Source organism: Homo sapiens, chromosome 11, assembly GCF_000001405.40.
Source record: "Homo sapiens chromosome 11, GRCh38.p14 Primary Assembly".
NCBI classification, from domain to species: domain Eukaryota; kingdom Metazoa; phylum Chordata; class Mammalia; order Primates; family Hominidae; genus Homo; species Homo sapiens.
In genome coordinates this window covers 26,597,297-26,619,744 of record NC_000011.10, presented here as the reverse complement: position 1 = coordinate 26,619,744, position 22,448 = coordinate 26,597,297, and the positions used below count along the sequence as shown (strand labels likewise).

General features: G+C 37.5%; 1 protein-coding gene across 7 annotated transcripts in view, besides 2 other annotated features; it reads right to left on the bottom strand.

Annotated features, from left to right (window-relative positions):
* The window catches only part of ANO3 (anoctamin 3), a 474,482-nt gene that overhangs the window by 43,545 nt on the left and 408,489 nt on the right, over window positions 1-22,448 (bottom strand). For all 7 annotated transcript variants that reach the window (NM_001313726.2, NM_031418.4, XM_047427399.1 and 4 more), the window contains 3 exons: window positions 21,298-21,380; window positions 20,747-20,887; window positions 20,031-20,195 (listed from right to left, as the gene is read on the bottom strand). In NM_001313726.2, the coding sequence (NP_001300655.1) occupies window positions 20,031-20,195; window positions 20,747-20,887; window positions 21,298-21,380 (389 nt within the window). The remainder of the gene's footprint in view (window positions 1-20,030; window positions 20,196-20,746; window positions 20,888-21,297; window positions 21,381-22,448) is intronic.
* Window positions 10,818-11,027: an enhancer, noted in NCBI's record as "active region_4542". NCBI's record gives its function as "activates an Ori minimal core promoter by ATAC-STARR-seq in GM12878 lymphoblastoid cells {active_cell/tissue: GM12878}" and the evidence as "EXISTENCE:reporter gene assay evidence [ECO:0000049][PMID:35858748]".
* Window positions 11,558-11,857: an enhancer, noted in NCBI's record as "active region_4541". NCBI's record gives its function as "activates an Ori minimal core promoter by ATAC-STARR-seq in GM12878 lymphoblastoid cells {active_cell/tissue: GM12878}" and the evidence as "EXISTENCE:reporter gene assay evidence [ECO:0000049][PMID:35858748]".

Genomic DNA, 22,448 nt, shown 5'->3' with positions numbered 1-22,448 from the left:
CTGTAATCCCAGCACTTTGGGAGGCCAAAGTGGGCGGATCTCTTGAGGTCAGGAGTTTGAGACCAGCCAGGCCAACATGGTGAAACCCTATCTCTACTAAAAATACAAAAATTAGCCAGGTGTGGTGATGTGCCCCCAATTACTTGGGAGGCTGAGGTAATGAGAATAGCTTGAATATGGGAGGCAGAGGTTGCTGTGAGCTGAGATCCTGCCACTGCACTCCAGCCTGGGTGACACAGTGAGACTCCATCTCAAAAAATAAAAAAAAATAAATAATAAAAAAAGAATCTTTAGTTTTTCAAAAGTGTTCCAGGTGATTTGATGAATAGTAAAAATAGGAAATACTATTTTAAATTACTTTCATGACCTGTAAGATGGACTTGTAACCAAATTTTGATTGTATTAGCCCATATTTTTCTCCCCAGTTAAATATTTATTTAGGAATGCCATGATCCACCTGTTCTGTTTTGAAATGTTTAGAAAATGTATAGTCTTTGGTTATAAGTGTAAATTAAAATAAGTGCTGCAAACTTGAAATATGTTAAAAATACAATTCCAATAACAAAAAATAATTTTGAGCACATACAGTAAGATGCTAAGATATTTGGTGAATAAAATATTTCAAATTTATTTAAATATTTGGACATACAAAAATGAGGAAGCTACAGCCCCTGTTCATAAGGAGCTTATACTCTGATAATGGGAGAAATGACATATCCTAAGCACTGTAACAGAAGAATATTCACAAAATGGATTGCTTAATTCTTCAGAAGAATCTGATTGGAGGAATAATTGACATGTCCAAACAAACTGTGAGAAGAATAAGCACAAAATTCAATTCTAAATACAATATTGAAAAAAATGCTTTATGGAGGAAGTGATCCTTAACTGTAATTTTCAAAGATAAAGAGATATTCACCAAGGAGACAAATTAAGAATGGCATTCCAGACACAGGAAGCACTGTGGAGAAAGAGACAGGGGTATAAAAGAGCAAAGTTCCCTGGGGGACAAGCAAAAGTGGTTCTGTAGGTTGGAGTGCAGGGTGATTTGGAAAGAGGGGCAGCAAGAGACAATTTTAGCCAAGAAGAGAATGGAAAAGTGGTTTTAAGCAATGAGGGCCTCACAGGCCAGGCTAAAGAATTTAGAATTTATACCCAATAAATACAATAGAAACCCATTAAACAGCCTCAAGCACATGACAAGCACGTTTACTATTTAAAAAGATCCTTCCAATAGTCCTGTGAAAGGGATATAGGAAGAGTTTAGATTAGAGACAGGAAGACCAACCAGCAGGAAGCCTGCTGCAACAGTCCAAGCTAAAAATGACAACTAGTTGAACTAAGGAAGGAGAAGCAAGGATGGTGAGCAAAAAATGGATAATAAAAATGTTACAGAAGCAAAATTCACAACAGTTAGTCACGATACTGTGAAGGAGATAAAAGAAATAAGTAAGAACTAGTTTAAGGTTTCTGGCTATGTACAGAAACAGAATTACGTTAAAAGTTCCTAACCAAAAAAAAAAGGTCTGACTGATTTAAACTATTTTTCTATGCCTATATTTTATAATCCCATGTACATGGATTATATTTGAAAAGCAATTTTGATCAATAGAATATTAATCTAAGTCCCTCATTTGGAGAAAATGATGGTACAGGGATCCTGCAGTCAATCTATTAACAACAAAAAAGCATATATTTTATTAGCTGCATATTTAGTTTTGGTCTGAAAATAGCATAACAAAAGGTAGCATTTGATTTTCTAAATAAATACTTTTGATGGTATAATATTTAACATTAATGGTTTTAATCTAGCCCTACTTGATTAAATCCATAGGTTAATCCTGTATATTCAGGTGATCAGAGGGCTATTTAGTAATCTGTGATGTGCTTTAACATCCTGAATAGAAAGAGAATGCATAAATTCAGAAGAGCATTGTTATTTTATACTAATTAAATCTGAGGAATATAACCATCTTCTTACATTGTTTGAGTTGGCTGTATTATAGTTCACTTCCTTTGCACTCAATTCATTTTATAATCTTCTCCTGAGTTAGTTGCAAAAGCAAAGGAGAAGTATTTATGGTCTACTCCACTTCCAAAAATCCCTGAATCTTTATGCCAAATTGACCAATAAGTAGAAATAGATATTTAGAAAAACAGGAGGTAGCTTCTGGTTTCTCCCAGGAACTATGATTGTTTTATAGCACTAAGAAGATACATGGGTTCTAGTATTCAATTAAGTGGAGCTGGTGGGATGCTGAGGCTCTCAAAAGATTCTTCTATAATTCCAATAATCCTCTCTTCACTTGCCTTCTGAAGTCTTATTTCTACAACTAGAGATTCACTCCACTGAGTTCAGCCTTTGTTTTCTGTAAAATGCAAGTGCTTTGGAATAAATAATACATTAAGCCTCATTAAACACATAAACTTAAGAGCAAGTTGTACTGGAACCTTATAAGAGAAAGAGAAAGCCATAGGTATGAGAATCAACTGTGATTTTATGGAAGGTGTGGTAACTGAGGAAGAGGGTAGGAGGTGGAGAAGAGTGACAGTTTAAGAGATTGGACTTTAAGAAGCAACTGGAATAATATAAAACTGGAGTCTGGTACAACAGTGACAATTTCAGCCAAATCTTGATTTCTGCAATATTAGTGATAATATAAAGAATATTTTGGGCCGGGCACGGTGGCTCACGCCTGTAATCCCAGCACTTTGGAAGGCTGAGGCAGGTGGATCATGAGGTCAGGAGGTCGAAACCAGCCTGGCCAGCATGGTGAAACCCCGTCTCTACTAAAAATACAAAAATTAGCTGGGCATGATGGCGTGCGCCTGTAGTCCCAGCTACTCAGGAGGCTGAGGCAGGAGAATCACTTGAACCCAGGAGGCAGAGGTTGTGGTGAGCTAAGATCTTGCCACTGCACTCCATCCTGGGCAACAGAGAGAGACTCCATCTCAAAAAAATAAAAATAATAAAAAAGAACAATTTTGTAAGAAAATGTTTGAGGGTAAACCTCCCATTCTGTTCAAATTCAGGTTCTATTATGAGCTTGGTCTGACAAGTTTTCAGCTTATTTGAGAATATAGTTATTTCATAAAGTGGAAACTAAGTATCGAATCTTGGACCTGGAGTTTCTGTTCTAGGAGCTGTCATGCTTGCCTTCCAAAGTAAAAATTAATTAACCATATTTGGCTCCTTCATTTTCCTTTGCCTGTCTTCAAAAATATTAAGCTAGTTCATTAATCTTTTCAAGATGTTTTTGAAGATCAGTATGTCTTTGCAACAAATTACCAAAAAAAAAAAAAAAAAACCAGAAACGCAGGATGTTCCTTTAAAGGCAATAATACTTAATGGGAGGAGAAGATAATTAAGGGACATGAAAAGTCATTGTGATTCTTGCCATCATTTTCAATAGCAAAAATCGCAATAACTTTTGCACCAACCTACATTAACATTGATTACCTCCAACAGGTACAATTAGGTTTATAGTAAGAAGGGAGATGAGTGGCATTATGAACTGAGGAAAGTGGCTTTTATTTAGCATTTCTAACATTTTTATACTTCACTACTTTTTATAATATCAATGTACTGATTTTATAATTCATAGCTATAAAAGATAAAATAATTACAGACCTTAAAAGGGCATTAAAAAGAGTAAGACATTTTAAAAATAAGATTACTGAAAATTATCACAGTGGTATGATTTCAGCATGAACTAATTAAATATTTTTTAAAACTTGTTTATATTACTAGACATATTTGATAGAAAGACAAAATACAAAACAGTGATTCTCTTTCTCTCCAAAGATGGCTTTGAGCATTCAAATATTTATGAACGGGTAATAGAAAACATTTATTTAAAAAGAATAAAAAGTGAACACCAATCAATGCAGACGTGATATAAAGAATTTAGGACGATCAAAGAAAAGGTTGTTATTGTTTTCATACCTTGAAATGAAGGGAAATAAATGATCAAACTTAAAGATGCAGAAAATGGAGAAAAGTAAAAGTTGGTATTTTGCAAGAAGAAATATGAGTATAGGTAGTCTTAAAAAGGGAAATGAAATCTTAAAATATCGAAGGGAAGCAAGTGTAGAGAAAGTTAACATTTATTACCATCTTCTATGCACTAGAGAGGTTACTCATTTAGTCTTTCAATATCCCTATGTGTTATTTTTATGTCCCTCATTTAAAAGATCCAGAAATTACAGCTCATAGATGTTATGTGGTATGACCAGCGTTACACAGGTCAAGTAGGAAATTTCTGCTTTGCCTGTGTCCAAAGTCCCGTGTTTTTGTGAAGACACCATTGAGGAACTGAAAAAAAAAAAATATATATATATATATATATAAACTGACAGAAGCTTAGACAGTATTGCGAAAGCCAGGGGAGAGAGGGAACCACACATGAGAACAGAAGGAATAGGGTGTATATGTGCTGGGATGCTGCAGCCACTGATAAATCTTTTCTTCACTTGGCAAAAGACAAAACTCAAAAAGTGACCTAATGTTGCTACTTGTATAGCGGTGGTTTTATGGGTAGCTCATAAAGTAAAAAAAAAAACAAAAACAGAAAAGAAAATGCATTTCATTCCTAATTTGTTCTTCATTTTATATAAATAGTAGGATGTTTTAAAAGCTAAGAGTTTTTTTCTGATTATAAATCAAGACCTATATACAGAGATAAATATTCAAATGATCCGAAAAAGTTATATTCTTTTTATAGAATATAATATAAATAGAATAGAATATATATGTAGAGAGTGATGTCAGAAAGAAGGTTGACTACGGTTACCTGGCACTCGTCCCTCCCCAACAAAAAGGAACCAAAACAACAAATAAACAACTATATTGTAAGTAAAGTGACTGAAGTAGAGTGCTAGGCAGCACCAGGGGAATGGTAAAATTTATGTGGAGTACAGACACCAAGGATACCATAGAGAGAGAGAGGAAGACACCCTACTTCTACCACTCTCTCTTCCTTACCAGAATTAGCTCAGAGTCAGGGGGACTTCTTCCTATGGAGAAAACATAAGTTAAAGATCCTCAGTGGTCCCCATTGCAACCACAAACACCAGCAATCCTTGCTACAGGACAGCCCCTAATCCCCACAGGCCTCAAATCCAGTCTGGAGAGTAGCTGAGGTCCGTGCAACTCCATTGCCTCATTGTAAGAGACCACCTTGAGCACCTCCCACCACTGTGACCTAGGCTGCTATGGCTCTATACTATTTTGAACCTGGACCCATGTATACAGTGTGTCTTGCCCTGGGGATCAGTATCAATTGACTTTCCATTCCTGAGGCCCTGCCATCATACTACCATAGTGCCTACAGTACCATGACCTCAGCTGCCCAGAACATAGGCCAGATCGAAGGACTGAGACCCTGGCATCCAAACCCATGTGGCATTTGTCACAACCTTCCAATAAACAGGTGAACCTGCACAGCAGGAAAGTGGCTGAACAGCCTGCTAGCCATCACATCCATGTGCACCTACACTGCACAGTCTGCCAACCCTGTGAGTGCTTATACCTAGCCTGACAGCCAGTCCTATGTTGAATCCACCCCCAGAAACAACTGCTTCAACCTGCCTAGCCCCCATCCCCAACACCTGCATATGTTCATGTACAGCCTGAAAGCGGGTCCTGCAGCAGCAGTATCCCCAGGACAGCTTGCTACAGCCTGCCTGGCCCAAGTGCATGCATGTGCCTGCATGGCCTGACAGCTGGTCCTGTGGTGACCCTGTCCCTTCAGACAGAACTTTGCAAAACCACCCAGTGCCATTACACCCATGAGCATCTGTGCTTGGCTTCTGACAGCCAGCCTGGAAATGGCCAGTGCCTCTGCAGGAAACTCACCATACAGATTGTTGGCCCTCTGCAGCTTCCCTTGTCTGGCTAACATCCAGCCCGCTGCCCCAGCCCCAAGCAAAACCACATTATTGCCCTTATAGTCAACCATAGACTAGGCTTCTGAGACAATATCACAGACATCACTGACAAGTATTGTAGCTAAAGAAACACCATGAAGATCACACTAGAGACTCCACTCAGAACCAAAGCCAAAGCTCCTCTGGGACCACCTACCAAAGAAAGTTTCTTCCTACAAATGCTATCCTATAAAACCAGAAAGAACAAATTTACACTAGATTTGCAGATATCAAAATAAGGACACAAGAAACGTGAAACAGCAAGAAAATAGGATACCTCCAAAGAAACACAATAAGTCTCTAGTAACAGACCCCAAAGAAAAGAAAATTTATGAAATTCCTAAAAAAGCATTGTAAATAATGATCTTAAGAAAATGCAGTGAGATACAAGACAGCACAGACAAATGATTCAATGAAATCCGAAAAATAACCAATGATCTGAATGAGAAATACAATAAAAAGATAGACATAAAAAAGAACCAAACAGAAATCTTGAAGCTGAATAATTCAATAAATACAATAAAAAATACAATTGACAGTTCCAACAACAGACCAAATCAAATAATATATTTTTAAGCTTGAATACAGATCTTTTAAAATAACAGTCAGAGAAAAATAAATAAACAAATAAGAATAAAGAAAGTGTATGAGACTTATGAAACACCATTAAGTGAACAAATGTTCCCATTATAGGATTATTAGAGAGAGAAGAGGTGGAGAAAGACACAGAAAGCCTATTTAACAGGATAATAGACAGAAACTTCCCAAATATTGGGAGATATATTTATATCTAGATAGATTCAGGAAGCTCAAAAGTCCCCTATTAGATTCAACTCAAAATGATCCTCTTCAAAGTACTCGTTAATCAAACTGCCAAAAGTCAAAGAGAAGATTCCAAAATCTGCAAGAAAAAACTTTCAAGTTATATATAAAGGAAGCCCCTATTAGACTATCAGCAGATTTCTCAACAGAAACTGCAGGCCAGAAGAAAATGGGTTGTTATATTTAAAGTGCTGAAAGGAAAAAAAAATCTGTCCGGCAATAATACTATATCCATAAAGCTATCCTTCAGAAATGAAGGAGAAATAAAGCCCTTTCCAGAAAAACAAATGCTGAAGAAATTTGTCACCACTAGACTGGCCTTACAAGAAATGCTAAAGAAAATGCTACAGTTGGAAACAAAAAGAATATAATTATTGTCAAGAAAACTGTATAAGCATAAAACTTACCAGTAGACAAATTCATAAATCGAACTGAGAATAATCTATTGAAATAACGGTGCTATGTAAACTTTCAATCATCTAGTATGAAAGGTTTAAATTCAAATAATAAAAAACAACAACAGCCAGAATTCGTGGCTTAGGAACACCTAATAGATGAAGAAGTAAAAATTAAACATCAGAAATATAAATTGTAGGGGGAGGGAAAGAGCCTATGGTATTTTTTATGTGAACAAAGTTACGTTAAAATAATAAATCTTAAAATAATACATCTACAAGATTATTTAGGTTAGCCCCATGGTAGCCCGAAAGAAAGAAATTACAGCAGTCACACAAATGCCAAGAGTAAGAAAACAAAGCATAGCACCACAGAAAACCATCAACCCACAGAGGTAAACAAACAGAGACAAAGAAAGGAACAGATGATCTATAAACAACCAAGAAATCATTAACTAAATGTCAGGAGTAAGTCCTTATCTATCAATGATAACTGTGAATACAAATGGAACAAATTCTCCAATTAAAAGATACTGAGTAGCCAAATGGATTAAAAAATATATCCAACTGTATGCTGTCTACAAAAGACTCACCTCGCCATTAAGACAAAGGTAGGCTGAAAGTGAAGGCATGGAAAAAGATATTCCATGCAAATGCAAACCAAAAGTGAGCAGGAATAGCCATACTTATATGAGATGAAATAGACTTTAAGTCAAAAACTGTAAAAAGACAAAAAAAAATTATATAATGATAAAGGGATCCATTCAACAAGAGGGTATAACAATTGGAAATATATATGTACCTAACACCAGAGCACCCAAATATGTACAGCAAATATTATCAGATATAAAGGCAGAGAAAGACAGACTACAATACAATTGTGGGAAACTTCAACACCCCACCCTCAACAGTGGATAGATAATCTAGACAGAAAACCAACACAAAAAATTAGACTTAAACTACACCATAGACCAAATGGACGTAACAGATATTTACAGAACATTCCATCCAACAGCTGCAGAGTAAACATTCTTCTCAACTGCATATAGAACATTCTCCAGGATAGATCACATGTTAGGCCACAAAACTAGTCTTAAAAAATTTAAGAAGACAGAGATCATATCGAGTATCCTTTTAGACCACAATATTACAAAACTAGAAATAAACAAGAAAAAGTTAAGAAATCTTACGAACATGAAAATTGAACAGCATACTTCTAAATAACGAATAATTCAATGAATAAATTAAAAGAGAAATTGAAAAATTACTTGAGACAAATGAGACTGGAAACACATCATACCAAAACCTATGAGACACAGCAAAAGCAGTTCTAAGAGAGAAGTTTATAGAAATAAATGCCTAAACAATAAACAAAGATTCCCAATAACCTGACCATGCAGCTCAAAAAGTAGGAAAAAAAGACAAACGAAACCCCAAATTGTAAATAATAAAGCTCAGAGCAGAAATAAATACAATAGTGACTTTTGAAGTTTTCAAAAAAATCAACAAAATTAACAGTTTTATTGAAAAGATTAACAAATATGAGAAATCTTAGAGTCACCACAGAAAAAAAGAGGAAAGACCTAAATAAATAAAATCAGAGATGAAAAAGGACACATTACAGGTGACATCACAGAAATACAAAGCATCATAAGAGACTATGATGAACAATTATACACCAAAAAGTTTGCGAACATAGATGAACTGGATAGATTCCTTGACAAATACAAGTTACCAAGATTAAATTAGGAAGAAACAGAAGATCTGGACACTCCAATAATGAGTGAGGAAACTGAATCAGTAATAAATAGTCATCTACCGAAAAAAGGCCTAGGACCTAAAATTGAATACCTATGTGCAAAAACAAAAAACAAAAAACAACACTATCTTTCACTACATACAAAAATCAACTCAATTGCAATTAAAGACTCAACTGTAAAACCTAAAACTATGAATCTACTAAAAGAAAATGTAGGGGAAATGCTGTATGACTTTGGGCTGGGCAAGGATGTTTTTTAAAAAGGCTGCAAAAGCACAGGAAACAAAATGAAAAATAGACAAATGAGACCACATCAAATTAAAAAGTTTTTACACAGCAAAGGAAACAACAGAATGGGAGAAAATATTTGCAACTATATATCTGACAAGGGGTTTATGTGCAGAATATATAGGGACTTAAATAACAACAAAAAAACAAATAACCTGATTAGAAAATTGGAAAAATAATAGGCAGTTCTCAAAAAAAAAGACATTGAAATGGTCAACAGGTATGTAAAAAAAAAAAAAAAAAATGCTCAACATCCCTAGTCATCAGAGAAATGAAAACCAAAACCACAATAAGATCATACTGCACTCCAGTTAGAATGGCTAGAATCAAAAATACAAAGTAGGCCGGGAGCGGTGGCTTACGCCTGTAATCCCAGCACTTAGGAAGGCTGAGGCAGGCGAATCACCTGAGGTCAGGAGTTAGAGACCAGTCTGACCAACATGGAGAAACCCCGCCTCTACTAAAAATACAAAATTAGCTGGGTGCGGTGGCACACGCCTGTAATCCCAGCTACTCTGGAGGCTGAGGCAGGAGAATCGCTTGAACCCAGGAGGTGAAGTTTGCAGTGAGCTGAGATCGCGCCATTGCAGTCCAGCCTGGGCAACAAGAGCGAAACTCCGTCTCAAATAAATAAATAAATACAAAGTAAACTAGCGTTGGCTAGGATACAAAGAAAAGGGAACACTTACACACTGTTGGTGGAATTGTAAATTAGTATAGCCACTGTGGAAAACTCTATGAAGGTTCCTCAGAAAAATGAAAAATAGAATTACTATATGATCCATCAATCTCACTACTGGGTATATATCCAAAGAAATGAAATCAGTATGTAGAAGAGATATCTGAATTCCTAAGTTTATTGCAGCACAATTTACAATAGTGAAGATATGGAATCAACACATGTCCTTCAATGGATGAATAGATGAAGAAAATGTGGTGGGGGGCGGGGCCAAAGATGGCTGACTAGAAGCAGCGGTGATTGCAGGCTCCCCTCCAAAAGAACCGTGAATATTAGCATGTGAATCCTGCATGTGATATCCTGCACCTGCAGGATATGTGAATCCTGCATGTGATATCTTGCAGGATATGTGAATCCTGCATGTGATATCCTGCACCTGCAGGATATGGGAATCCTGCATGTGATATCCTGCAGGATATGTGAATCCTGCATGTGATATCCTGCACCTGCAGGATAGCATGTGAATCCTGCATGTGATCCTGCATGTGAATAGCATGTGAATCCTACACCTGCAACCAAGGTATCCAAGTTCTCTCATCAGACTTGACTAGGCGGCTGGTGTGCTCCACTGAGTGGAAGGAACAGCACTGTGGTGTGGCGGCCCACCTGAGAGCCACAGGGGATAAGGGAGCCTCCATGCCCCCAGCCAAGGGAGGCAGCCAGTCAGCGTGCTACCCAGCCTGGGAAACTGCTTTTTCCACGGAACTATTGCAACCCATGGATTTGAAGATCCCACTTGTGAACCCATGCCACTGGGGACTAGGGTCCCAACCATGGAGCTGCATAGATTCTCAAAAGCCTCTCAACTAGAATCTGCTTAAGCCCGTTGAGTTCCCTGGGGGAGGGGCGACCAGCACCACAGCTGCAGGTGCCTGCTGTCTAAGCCCTTTGAGCTCTTTGAAGGACGGGCAGCAGCCAGCACTGGGACTAATAGCTGCCTAACACACTAAGCTACCTGGGCAGGGGAAGATGGCAGGTATCTCTATAACTCCAGGCTGTGCTTTTCCCGTGCTGGAGCCAGGGAGGCTGGACGGTTTGTTCACAAGAGGTGTCCCCCACAGCCCAACACACAGTCTGCTGTGGCAGACTGCAGCCAGAGTACCTCTTCAGGCCTTACCCTGACCCATCCCTCCTCACTGGGCGAGGCCTCTCTGCAGGAACTCCAATAACTCCAGCCAGGGGCTCAGGGACAGAACTCTAATCTCCCTGGGCCTGGGTCCCCAGGGACAGGGGTGGCTGCAGTTTCTATAAACCAGCAGACTTAGCCTTTCCTCCTCTTAATTCTGAGAAATCCAGGCAGCCGAGAAGACTGGGTTTCCCCTCCAGCAAAGCACACCCCCTCCACCAAGGGACAGTAAAAGTGCTTCATTATATTGCCCCTGTACTCCGTGCCACCCAACTGAGTGAGACCCTCCAGCAGGGGTTGTCAGACACCCTATGCAGGAGAAATCCTTCTGGCATCAGCTTGGTGCTCCTGGAGGTCAGAGATCTTAGAGGAATGAGCAGGCACCCATCTTTTCTGTTCTCCAGCCTCCTTGTGTGACATCTACAGGCATGGGGGTGAACCAAATGAATAGGGCCTGAAGGGAACCCCCAGTCAACTGCAGCAGCCCTACAGAAGAGAGACCTGACCATTGAAAGAAAAACAAACAGAAAGCAAGAACGACAGTATCAACAACAACAAAAAAGTCCCTACAAAAACCCCATCCAAGGGTCAGCAGTCTCAAAGATCGAAACTAGACAAACTAACGAAGATGAGAAAGAATCAACGAAAAAATGCTGAAAACCCAAAAGGCCAGAATACCTTTTCTCCTCCAAATGATTGCAACGCCTCTCCGGCAAGGGCACAGAACTGGACAAAGGATGAGAACAAATTGACAGCAGTAGGCTTCAGAAGATGAGTAATAACAAACACCACTGAGCTAAAGGAACAGGTTCTAACCCAATGCAAAGAAGCTAAGAACCTTGGTAAAAGGTTAGAGGAGGTGCTATGTAGAATAACCAATCTAGAGAGGAACATAAATGACCTGATGGAGCTGAAACACACAACACAAGAACTTCATAAAGCATACACAAGTATCAATAGCTGAATCGACCAAGTGATTCTATGCACCCAATACAGGAGCACTCAGATTCATAAAGCAAGTTCTTAGAGACCTACAAAGAGACGTAGACTCCCACACAATAATAGTAGGAGGCCTTAACACCCCACTGGCAATATTAGAAAGGATGTCAGAGTTTGAAAACCATGTTGCTGAAATAAGGCATGCAGACAAGACTAGAGAAAAAAGAATGAAAAGGAATAAACAAAGCCTCTGAGAAACAGGCACTGTGTAAAAAGACAGAGCCTACAATTGATTGGAGTATATAAAGGAGATGAGGAGAATGGAACAAGCTGGAAAACACACTTCTGGATATTATCCAGCAGAACTTCCCCAACTTAGCAAGACAGGCCAACATTCAAATTCAGGAAATACAGAGAACAAGAAGATACTCCACGAGAGGATTAACCCGAAGACACATAGTTATCAGATTCTCCAAGGTCGAAATGAAGGAAAAAATATTAAGGGAAGTCATGTTAATATTTTATTTTGTTTAAAAATTTAAAATATTTTATTTTATTTCAGGTCACCTACAAAGGGAAGTCCATCAGACTATGAGTGGACCTCTCAGCTGAAATCCTACAAGCCAGAAGAGAGTGGGGCCAATATTTGACATTCTTAAAGAATTTTCAAAACAATTTCATATAATATCATATGGAATTTCATATCCAGTCAAACTATACTTCATAAGCAAAGGAGAAATAAAATCCTTTCCAGACAAGCAAATGTTGAGGAATTTCATCACCACCAGACCTGCCTTGCCAGAGCTCCTGAAGGAAGCACTAAATATGGAAAGGAAAAGCTGGTACTAGCCACTGCAAAAACACACCAAAATATAAAGATCAATGACACTATGAAGAAACTGCATCAACTAGTGTGCAAAATAACCAGATAGCATCAGGATGACAGGATCAAACTCACACATAACAATATTAACCTTAAATGTAAATGGGCTAAATGCCCCAATTAAAAGACACAAACTGGCAAATTTGATAAAGAGTCAAGACCCATGTGTGTCCTATATTCAGGAGACCTATCTCATGGGCAAGGACACACACAGGCTCAAAATAAAGGGATGAAGGAAAATTTACCAAGCAAATAGCCAAAAAAAAAAGCAGGGATTGCAATCCTAGTCTCCGATAAAACAGACTTTAAACCAACAAAGAATAGTGGGAGGCCTTAACACCCCACTGTCAATATTAGATAGATCAATGAGACAGAAAATTAATAAGGATATTCAGGACTTGAACTCAGCTCTGGACCATGCAGATCTAATAGACATCAACAGAACTCTCCACCCCAGATCAACAGAATATACATCCTTCTCAGCACCACATCACACTTATTCTAAAATTGACCACATAATTGGAAGTAAAACACTCCTCAGCAAATGCAAAAGAATGGAAATCATAACAAACAGTCTCTCAGACCACACTGCAATCAAATTAGAGCTCAGGATTAGGATACTCGCTCAAAACCACACAACTACATAGAAAGTGAACTGAATGATTATTGGGTAAATAACAAAATTAAGGCAGAAATAAATAAGTTCTTTGAAACCAGTGAGAACAAAGACACAACATACAAGAATCTCTGGGACACAGCTAAAGCAGTATTTACAGGGAAATTTATAGCACTGAATGCCCACAAGAGAAAGTGGGAAAGATCTAAAATCAGCACCCTAACATCACAATTTAAAGAACTAGAGAAGGAAAGGCAAACAAATTCAAAAGCTAGCAGAAGGCAAGAAATAACTAAAATCAGAGCAGAACAGAAGGAGGTAGAGACATGAAAACCCCTTCAAAAAAATGAATGAATCCAGGAGTTGGTTTTTTTTTAAAAGATTAACAAAATAGACTGCTAGCCAGACTAATAAAGACGAAAAGAGAGAAGAATCAAATAGACACAATAAAAAATGATAAAGGGGATATCACCACTGATCCCACGGAAATACAAACTACCGTCAGAGAAGACTATAAACACCTCTATGCAAATAAACTAGAAAATCTAGAAGAAATGGAAGGAAGAAATTCCTGGACAGATACACCCTCCCAAGACTAAACCAGGAAGAAGTCGAATCCCTGAATAGACCAATAACAGTAACATATTCTGAAATTGATGCAGTAATTAATAGCCTAGCAACCAAAAAAAGCCCAGGACCAGATGGATTCACAGCCGAATTCTACCAGAGGTACAAAGAGGAGCTGGTACCATTCCTTCTGTAACTATTCCAAACAATAGAAAAAGAGGGACTCCTCTCTATTTCATTTTATGAGGCCAGAATCATCCTGATACCAAAACCTGGCAGAGATACAACAAAAAAAGAAAATGTCAGGCCAATATCCCTGACATTGGTGTGAAACATTGGTGCAAAAATCCTCAATAAAATATTGGCAAACCGAATCCAGCAGCACATCAAAAAACTTATCCACCACCATCAAGTTGGCTTCACCCCTGGGATACAAGGCTGGTTCAACATATGCAAATCAATAAACGTAATCCATCACATTAACAGAACCAACGACAAAAATTTGTCTTGGTTATCTCAATAGATGCAGAAAAGGCCTTCGATAAAATTCAATATCCCTTCAGGTTAAAAACTCTCAATAAAATAGGTACTGATGGAACATATCTCAAAATAATAAGAGCTACTTATGAAAAACCCACAGCCAATATCACATTGAATGAGCAAAAGCTGGAAGCATTCTCTTTGAAAATCAATACAAGACAGGATGCCCTCTCTCACCACTCCTATTCAACATAGTATTGCAAGTTCTGGGCAGGGCGATCAGGCAAAACAATGAAACAAAGGGTATTCGAATAGAAAGAGAGGAAGTCAAATTGTCTGTGTTTGCAGATGACATGATTCTACATTTAGAAAACCTCGTTGTCTCAGCCCCAAAACTCCTTAAGCTGATAAGCAACTTCAGCAAAGTCTTAGGGTACAAAATCAATATGCAAAAATCACAAGCATTCCTATACATACCATCAATAGACAAGCAGAGAGCCAAATCATAAATGAACTCCCACTCACAATTGCTACAAAGAGAATAAAATTCCTAGGAATACAGATAACAAGGGATCTGAAAGAACTCTTCAAGGAGAACTATAAACCACTGCTCTAGGAAATATGAGATGACATAAATAAATGGAAAAACATTCTATTCTCATGGTTAGGAAGAATCAATATTGTGAAAATAATCATACTGCCCAAAGTAATTTATAGATTCAATACTATTCCCATCAAACTACCATTGACATTCTTCACAGAATTAGAAAAAAACTACTTTAAGTTTCATATGAAACCAAAGAAGAGCCCGTATAGCCAAGACAATCCTAAACAAAAAGAACAAAGCTGGAGGCATTACACTACCTGAATTCAAACTATACTACAAGGCTACAGTAACCAAAACAGCATGGTACTAGTATCAAAACAGTCATATACACCAATGGAACAGTACAGAGACCTCAGAAATAACACCACGTATCTACTACCATCTGATCTTCAACAAACCTGACAAAAACAAGCAATGGGGAGAGGATTTCTTAAAAATCAATAAATGAGTTCATATCATAGAGGAAGTGTTATCAGATACTGGGTTGGGGAGGGGAGGATTGAGAGAGGTTGATCAATGGGTACAAAATTATAATTAGATAGAATAAATAAGTTCTAGTGTTCTACTGCACAGTAGGGTGACATTGTGTAACACTTAGGTATTTTACATTACAAAATAGCTAGAAAAGAGGCTTGGATGACCATCACAAAGAAATGATAAATGCCATCAGGTGATGGTCATGCTAAATACCCTGAGTTGACAATTATACAACATACATATGTTTAAAACATCCAATTATACTCCTAAACCTGTACCATTACAATATGTGAATTAAAATAAATATACTAGGTGAACAAATACAAATCCCTATAAGCAAAATTTATACTAAATCAAAAGGGTGTGCCACATTTTTTCTCACTATTGAGGGACCAATATTGTTAATATTTGATTGTAATTTCTTAAAGTTTCAAAATCCAGGAGACTGTATGTGTATTCTAGAAAAAATGGAATCAAGTAAACTTTTATATCCTTATATAACTGTATTTCATGTTCTTAAATAACATTCAAAGAGCATTTTAATAGTTTATATGATACTACCTTACATAGAATTTGAATAACTTTTTTTTATTTTTGGTTATTTAAGGGGTCTCTTTTTTAATATCTACTACTCTAAATAATACTACAATGATAATCCTTCTATATGAATCTTGGATGATATTATTGATAATTCCTTTAAAATAGAATATTGGAAATTAATTTTAAAAAAGGTTTGTCCTTTACTAGAGTTGAATAGAATATAAGCTTATTGTAGCAAATCTAGAAAATTCAAAATAGGTGATAAATATTAGACAACATGTAAAGAAAATAAAAATTACTTGTATTCTTCCTTTCAAGAGGTAACTCTAGAAAATATTTTGATCTATACTTGCCACTATTATGTATATAGCTGTAAATGCTCTTTAGTTTGAGTTTTGATTCTAGCTTTGCCAGATATATTTTAAAAATCAGTTTTATGTTTGCCCAGGAAGCATTATTTCTTTATCTAAATGCTGGATTAATTTGCACAACAGGTAATTATCTTTTTATTTAAAATTTTTTAAAAATGTAATACGGTGCCTATGATAAGACTGCTTTGTTAGTTTGTAATCTTTCTTTCAATTTCTTTCATGATTGACAATCTACTTAGAATATCTACTTTTACTTTAAGCAGTTGTGACTATTTATCTTTTCCCCAGAAAGGCTTACATTTTCTTGAGAGTTTTCAAACTTACCAGCACAGTAATTACATGGGTTGGGGAGGGGTAGCAATTACATGAGGGGACGTTGATCAATGGGTACAAAATTATAATTAGATAGAAGAAATAAGTTCTAGTGTTCTATTACACAGTAATGTCTTTTTTTTTTGAGACTTGGTCTCATGTTGTCATTCAGGCTGGAGTACAGTGGGGTGATCACAGCTTATTGTAGCTTTGGCCTCTGGTCTCAACTGACCCTCCCACCTCAGCCTCCTGAGTAGTTGAGACTACAGGTGTGCACCACCACACTTGGCTTTAAAAAAAAAAAAAAGAAAAGAAAAGAAAAAAAAACTTTTGTAGCAATGAGATCTCACTATGTTGCCCGGGCTGGTCTCAAACTGCTGGGCTCAAGCAATCCTCCTGCCTTGACTTCCCAAAGTGTTGGGATTGCAGGCATGAGCCACCATGCCTGGCCCCTCTTCTAATATTTTAATCTCCTTTATATCGATAAATGTATCTGATAAGATGATTTGTGGCTATTTACCTATCAAATACCATCAAGTATGGCTTCCCACTGCCCACAGTGGGCAAAAAACAACATCATATCCATACTCTTTACATGCCACTCACACCTCCAAAGCTAGGCACTGATTTAGTTTTCTAGTCTTATTTTTCTTTATTCTAATATGCTTCACAGACACTTCCCATTATTTCCTTAGGGCAAAGAACATGCATTTCTGTGCTTCTGTCCATCTGTGGGTTGAATTTCTTCAAACAACAATCTCCTTTCTGCTCTTTCTTGGCTGATCAGAATAAGCACCCTCTCTTCTTCCATTCAAGTCTTCTGATCCACTATCATAAAACGTACCATCCCATTTCACGTGCAATAGATGACCTTTTTCTCACCTTACTCAGGGCCCTTTTTGCTTCAACTATTGTGCATTTTTCACTGAATTCTTCAATTCTCTTTCCCCACTAGACTATAAGATCCTGGGTAGCAGAACTATGACCAGCTACTATTATTAATTTTTTTGTCAACCAACCTACTTACGATAAGAAATGAGTCAATTTAAGATCAAATTGGGCAACTGCTTCTGTGACCTAGAAATCGACACAACTACTTAGTTATCTTTTCCCAGATAATAGGGCCAATTGCAATAACCTCTGTCTACTGAAAAGCTGTCATAGTTTGTACTGATTTTGTTACAAACATGATGTTTTACTATATACCAGAAAAGTAACAGCAAAAATATAAAAATCTACAGTGTCTGTGCTGAAAATGGCTCTTCCATCAATGTGATGCTTGTGCAGTGCACAACCTATACTATCTTATATATACTACCATATAGGTTTCCTACTTCTAAAAGTGTATTTTTTTTCAATGTTTATTATACACTTTAAATTATGAGTCAAGAGCATAAATTATTTTATGGCTCGTTTAGAGATAATGTAAACAGTATTCACTTTCTACAAACTAAACTGGACCCGAGCAAAGCAAACTCCAGTAGAATATGTTAACTATTGTCCTCATAATAATGAGTACTCATTTATAACTGTGACTGTTCACTTTTCTCTTAAGATCTTCTCTGATTATTGTTTTAAAGTTAAATAGCAAATGGTCTCAACTCCCTCCAGGCTAAACAAGTAACATGAGTATCAATCACATTTGGAACCAAATGCATATTATCTATCTATAATACCAACCTTATTACTTATGTATGGCTCAGCTATATCATATAAATTATCTCATGATGTAAATATACTAACATTAACACTTACTATATGCAGGTTATTTAAGCTCTTTGAATCTCAGTTTCATTATTTACATAATGAAGGATAAATTGACTTTGTGGAGCTGTTGGAAGAATTAAAGATATTATCCTTAATGTGCCAATAGGTGCCTTCTATTTTCAGAGGAAATTGGTTCCCATTGATAGACCTGATTGAAGAGGTAGGCCTATGCATACTCTTGTCCCATTAACCATGGATATTTGGTCCACAAGTCATTAAGTGCATGCGATGTTGAAACAAAAAGGTGCTTTCTTTGAGTAACTAGCACATAAAAATACTGGATGATTTAAGTTAAATAAGCAGTTGAAACATGAGGAACATGGTCATAGAGAGAGTCAAAGAATAAAGGCGTAGCAATGCCACAGCATGCCAGACTATGACAAAATGGTATAGTTAGGCAAAAAACAGTTATCTTCCTGATAGAATAGAGCAGGCATGCAAAGAGAAGCAATGGGAAAAGGAGAGAAAGGAAAGAAGGTAGAAAGGGAGGGAGGGAAGGAGGGAGGGGGAGTGAGAAGAAGGAATGGAGGGAGAGGAAGGAAGGGAGGGAGAGGAAGTGAGAGAGGGAGGGATTAAGGGAGAGAGAGAAGAGGAGAAGGAAGGAGAGGAGAGATGGGAAGAGGATGAGAGGAGGGGAGGGGAAGAGGGGAGGGGAGGGGAGGAGGAAAGGAGAAGGGAGGGGAGGAGAGGGGAGGGGAGAGGAGGAGAGGAGGGCAGGGGAAGGGAGGTGGGGAGGAGAGGAGAGGGGAGAGAAGAGGGGAGAGGAGAGGAGAGGGGAGAGGAAAGGAGAGGGGAGAGAAGACGGGAGGGGAGAGGAGAGGAGAGGGGAGGAAAGGGGAGAGGGGAAGGGGAGGGGAGAGGAGAGGAGAGGAGAGGAGAGGAGAGGAAAGGAGACGAGAGAAGAGGGAAGAAGACAAGGGAGAGAGAAACAGTAGTTCCAGAGAAAGAAAACTGGAATAATTGCCTTACTGTTTTTCATTTCACATGAAGACTAGTAGATAACAATACTTCGCTTTCAAAAAGATTTTCCCATATCTTTCCAACAAGTTTTCCCATAAAATGGAGTTTATTGGGATGATTTTAAAGCCCAAACAATTCTTTATTTGTTTGAAAAGTGCATGGCACCATCTCTAGCACACACGAGATACTAACTGAATGGAAGCTATCACTAATCAGATTATAAACCCAAAATGCAGGGAAGATAATACAATTAGCATTTATTTTAATTTCAAAAATCTATCATCTAAACTACAAAGATGAAATCTTTTCTGTTAAACTGAATTGTCATTGACAGAAATGTGGCTTGGTCTTATTTTGGCTCCATGTAAATACATTTCAAATATAAAGGAAACATAGACCTCTCCCCTTTCCACCCCTTTTTTGTCTACTGAAGAATAACATTATAGACACTTACAAGATTCAGCAACATAATGATTATGAAATTGATACAGACAGCAGCAGCAGATGTTGCAAACTGCCAGTATTGTTTGATGAAATTCCACTTGAATGATGCAAACTGTTCCATGACAACCAGGCGGTACACCACAACTCCAAACACTGCAGTGATCACCAAGGATATCTACAATATTGGACACCAGAAAAAACATCCATATTTTACATCATTAACAAGTCAAAAGCAAAACCGTAGATCAAATCTACTGTCCCCAAGAATTGAAGGTATTTACCTTTCCAAGAAAGGATATCTAGATTTAATTTTCTCCTTTAAGGAAGTTATATTCTAGTCAAAACAAATAGGACAAAATTTGTTGTTTTAGTATGATAACAAAGTTATCACACTAACATGCAAATTCTTCCCAACGTCCTCTTAAATGGAATGCTCATTTTTAACACAAGATGTCTAATCCATCAGGTCAACTGATATAATTTCCATTTTATCTTAGATGGTCTCTGTTTCTCCCAAAGAGTATTTTCTTTAAAAAGGTGCACAAACTGCCTTTGTAAAATCTCCATAACCTGTTGTGATTTGTTTGTTTAATTGTACGTGTTACCAAGTTGTTGGAAAGAATAAGGTTTCTGACATTCTCAACGTCACAAAATGAGTTGGTATCATTGAACTTACTTCTAAATTTAGAATCCCAAAACATTTTGATATCGATGCCTATACTTTACCATGAAGAATATTCCTGAGACAGAAACAAGAAGACGAGTGACTTTGTCTGAGGAAGGCTGATGTGGTTCAGGTTTTCCCGTGATGGGATTTACAATCTCCATCTTGTAATACTTGGCTTCAAACTGGGGACGAAGTGTTTCCTATGAGAGAAACGAAAGTTATCTAAATATCAAAGCCATAAACTAAAAAAACATACCCCCAAGAATTGATACGATACTCCTAAATTTGGCCTACTTTTGTATTAAGTCTTCACAATAAAGCAACCTTTTAAAAATAACATCAAATTACCTTCCAAATAAATCCCGAGCAGTATTGAAATTAGCATAATTTTCCACTAATGTAATTTAAAGAAACATCACAGAAGTGGTTTGAAAAATACATACTTCATTGATCTCTATTATCTTCATAAAATAATAAATCTTTTTAGTAGGAAAGATCAAGGGAAAAATCTAATGGTGGTTAACTGCTTCCAGCCGGAATGCTAGGGCAGTAATTTTCCATATCCTGTAATAGCCCAGTTTCCCTATTTCCTTGTATCCTAACATCTTACCTCCTCTTCTTCCCATTCGATAAGGTCCCAAGTATAGGTCAGTATACTCCTTCTCCTTTTCCAAAACTCCAGGAAGACTGTGGCTATAAAATATAAAAATGATAATTCTTTACCCAAATCACATCATATTGCTTTTCTTCTTTATATTGAGATATCTTATCTCATAATTAAAATTAAATTATGAAAATAATAAATTAAAATTTTATTTTTCCCTTTTCCTCTTCTCCCTGTGTTTATACATCATTAATTAGTGTATCTATTAGCATACACTGCTAGAGGGGTGTGATTTCTTTTACTGGAACCAAGAAGCAGGGACTTTTTGTCAGCACAGCTCATCAAAATGATGCAATCAATATTACTGAGCTAAATATTGACCATTTTGACCTGCATATGCTTATTCAAAATTATCTAAAGACTCAAATAAAGCCTTCTCCAAGAATCACAATAAAGGCCAAATGCTACTCGTCCAGAGCTTACAGAGAGATGGTGTAGGAGAGAGAACAAAAGAACAAACTCTCGTGGTGAAGGAGAAGAAAAGAAAGACAAGAGAAGAAACTCCCAAATTCATATTCTGGGTGGACTCTACATGGACTGAAAAGGACTCAGTGGAAAAAGTAAAGAAATTCCTGAACTGTCAGCTTTCCCGTTTAAACAGTTAAGAAAACGATTGCTGTTTTATTTTTTTTCTAGACGGGCTCTATCTTACACCATTCAAGACTTTGTGGACACAACTAAGAACTCACATATATGTTTTAGAAATCTGTGGTACTGGGGCAACCCTCTTTGGGTCCCCTCCCATTGTATGAGAGCTCTGTTTTCACTCTATTAAATCTTGCAACTGCACACTCTTCTGGTCCGTGTTTGTTACGGCTCGAGCTGAGCTTTTGCTTGCTGTCCACCACTGCTGTTTGCCACTGTCACAGACCCACCGCTGACTTCAACCCCTCCAGATCCGGCAGGGTGTCCACTGTGCTCCTGATTCAGCGAGGCGCCCATTGCCGCTCTGGATCCAGCTAGAGGCTTGCCGTTGTTCCTGCACGGCTAAGTGCCCAGGTTCGTCCTAATCCAGCTGAACACTAGTCACTGGGTTCCATGGTTCCTTCTGTGACCCATGGCTTCTAATAGAGCTATATCACTCATCGCATGGCCCA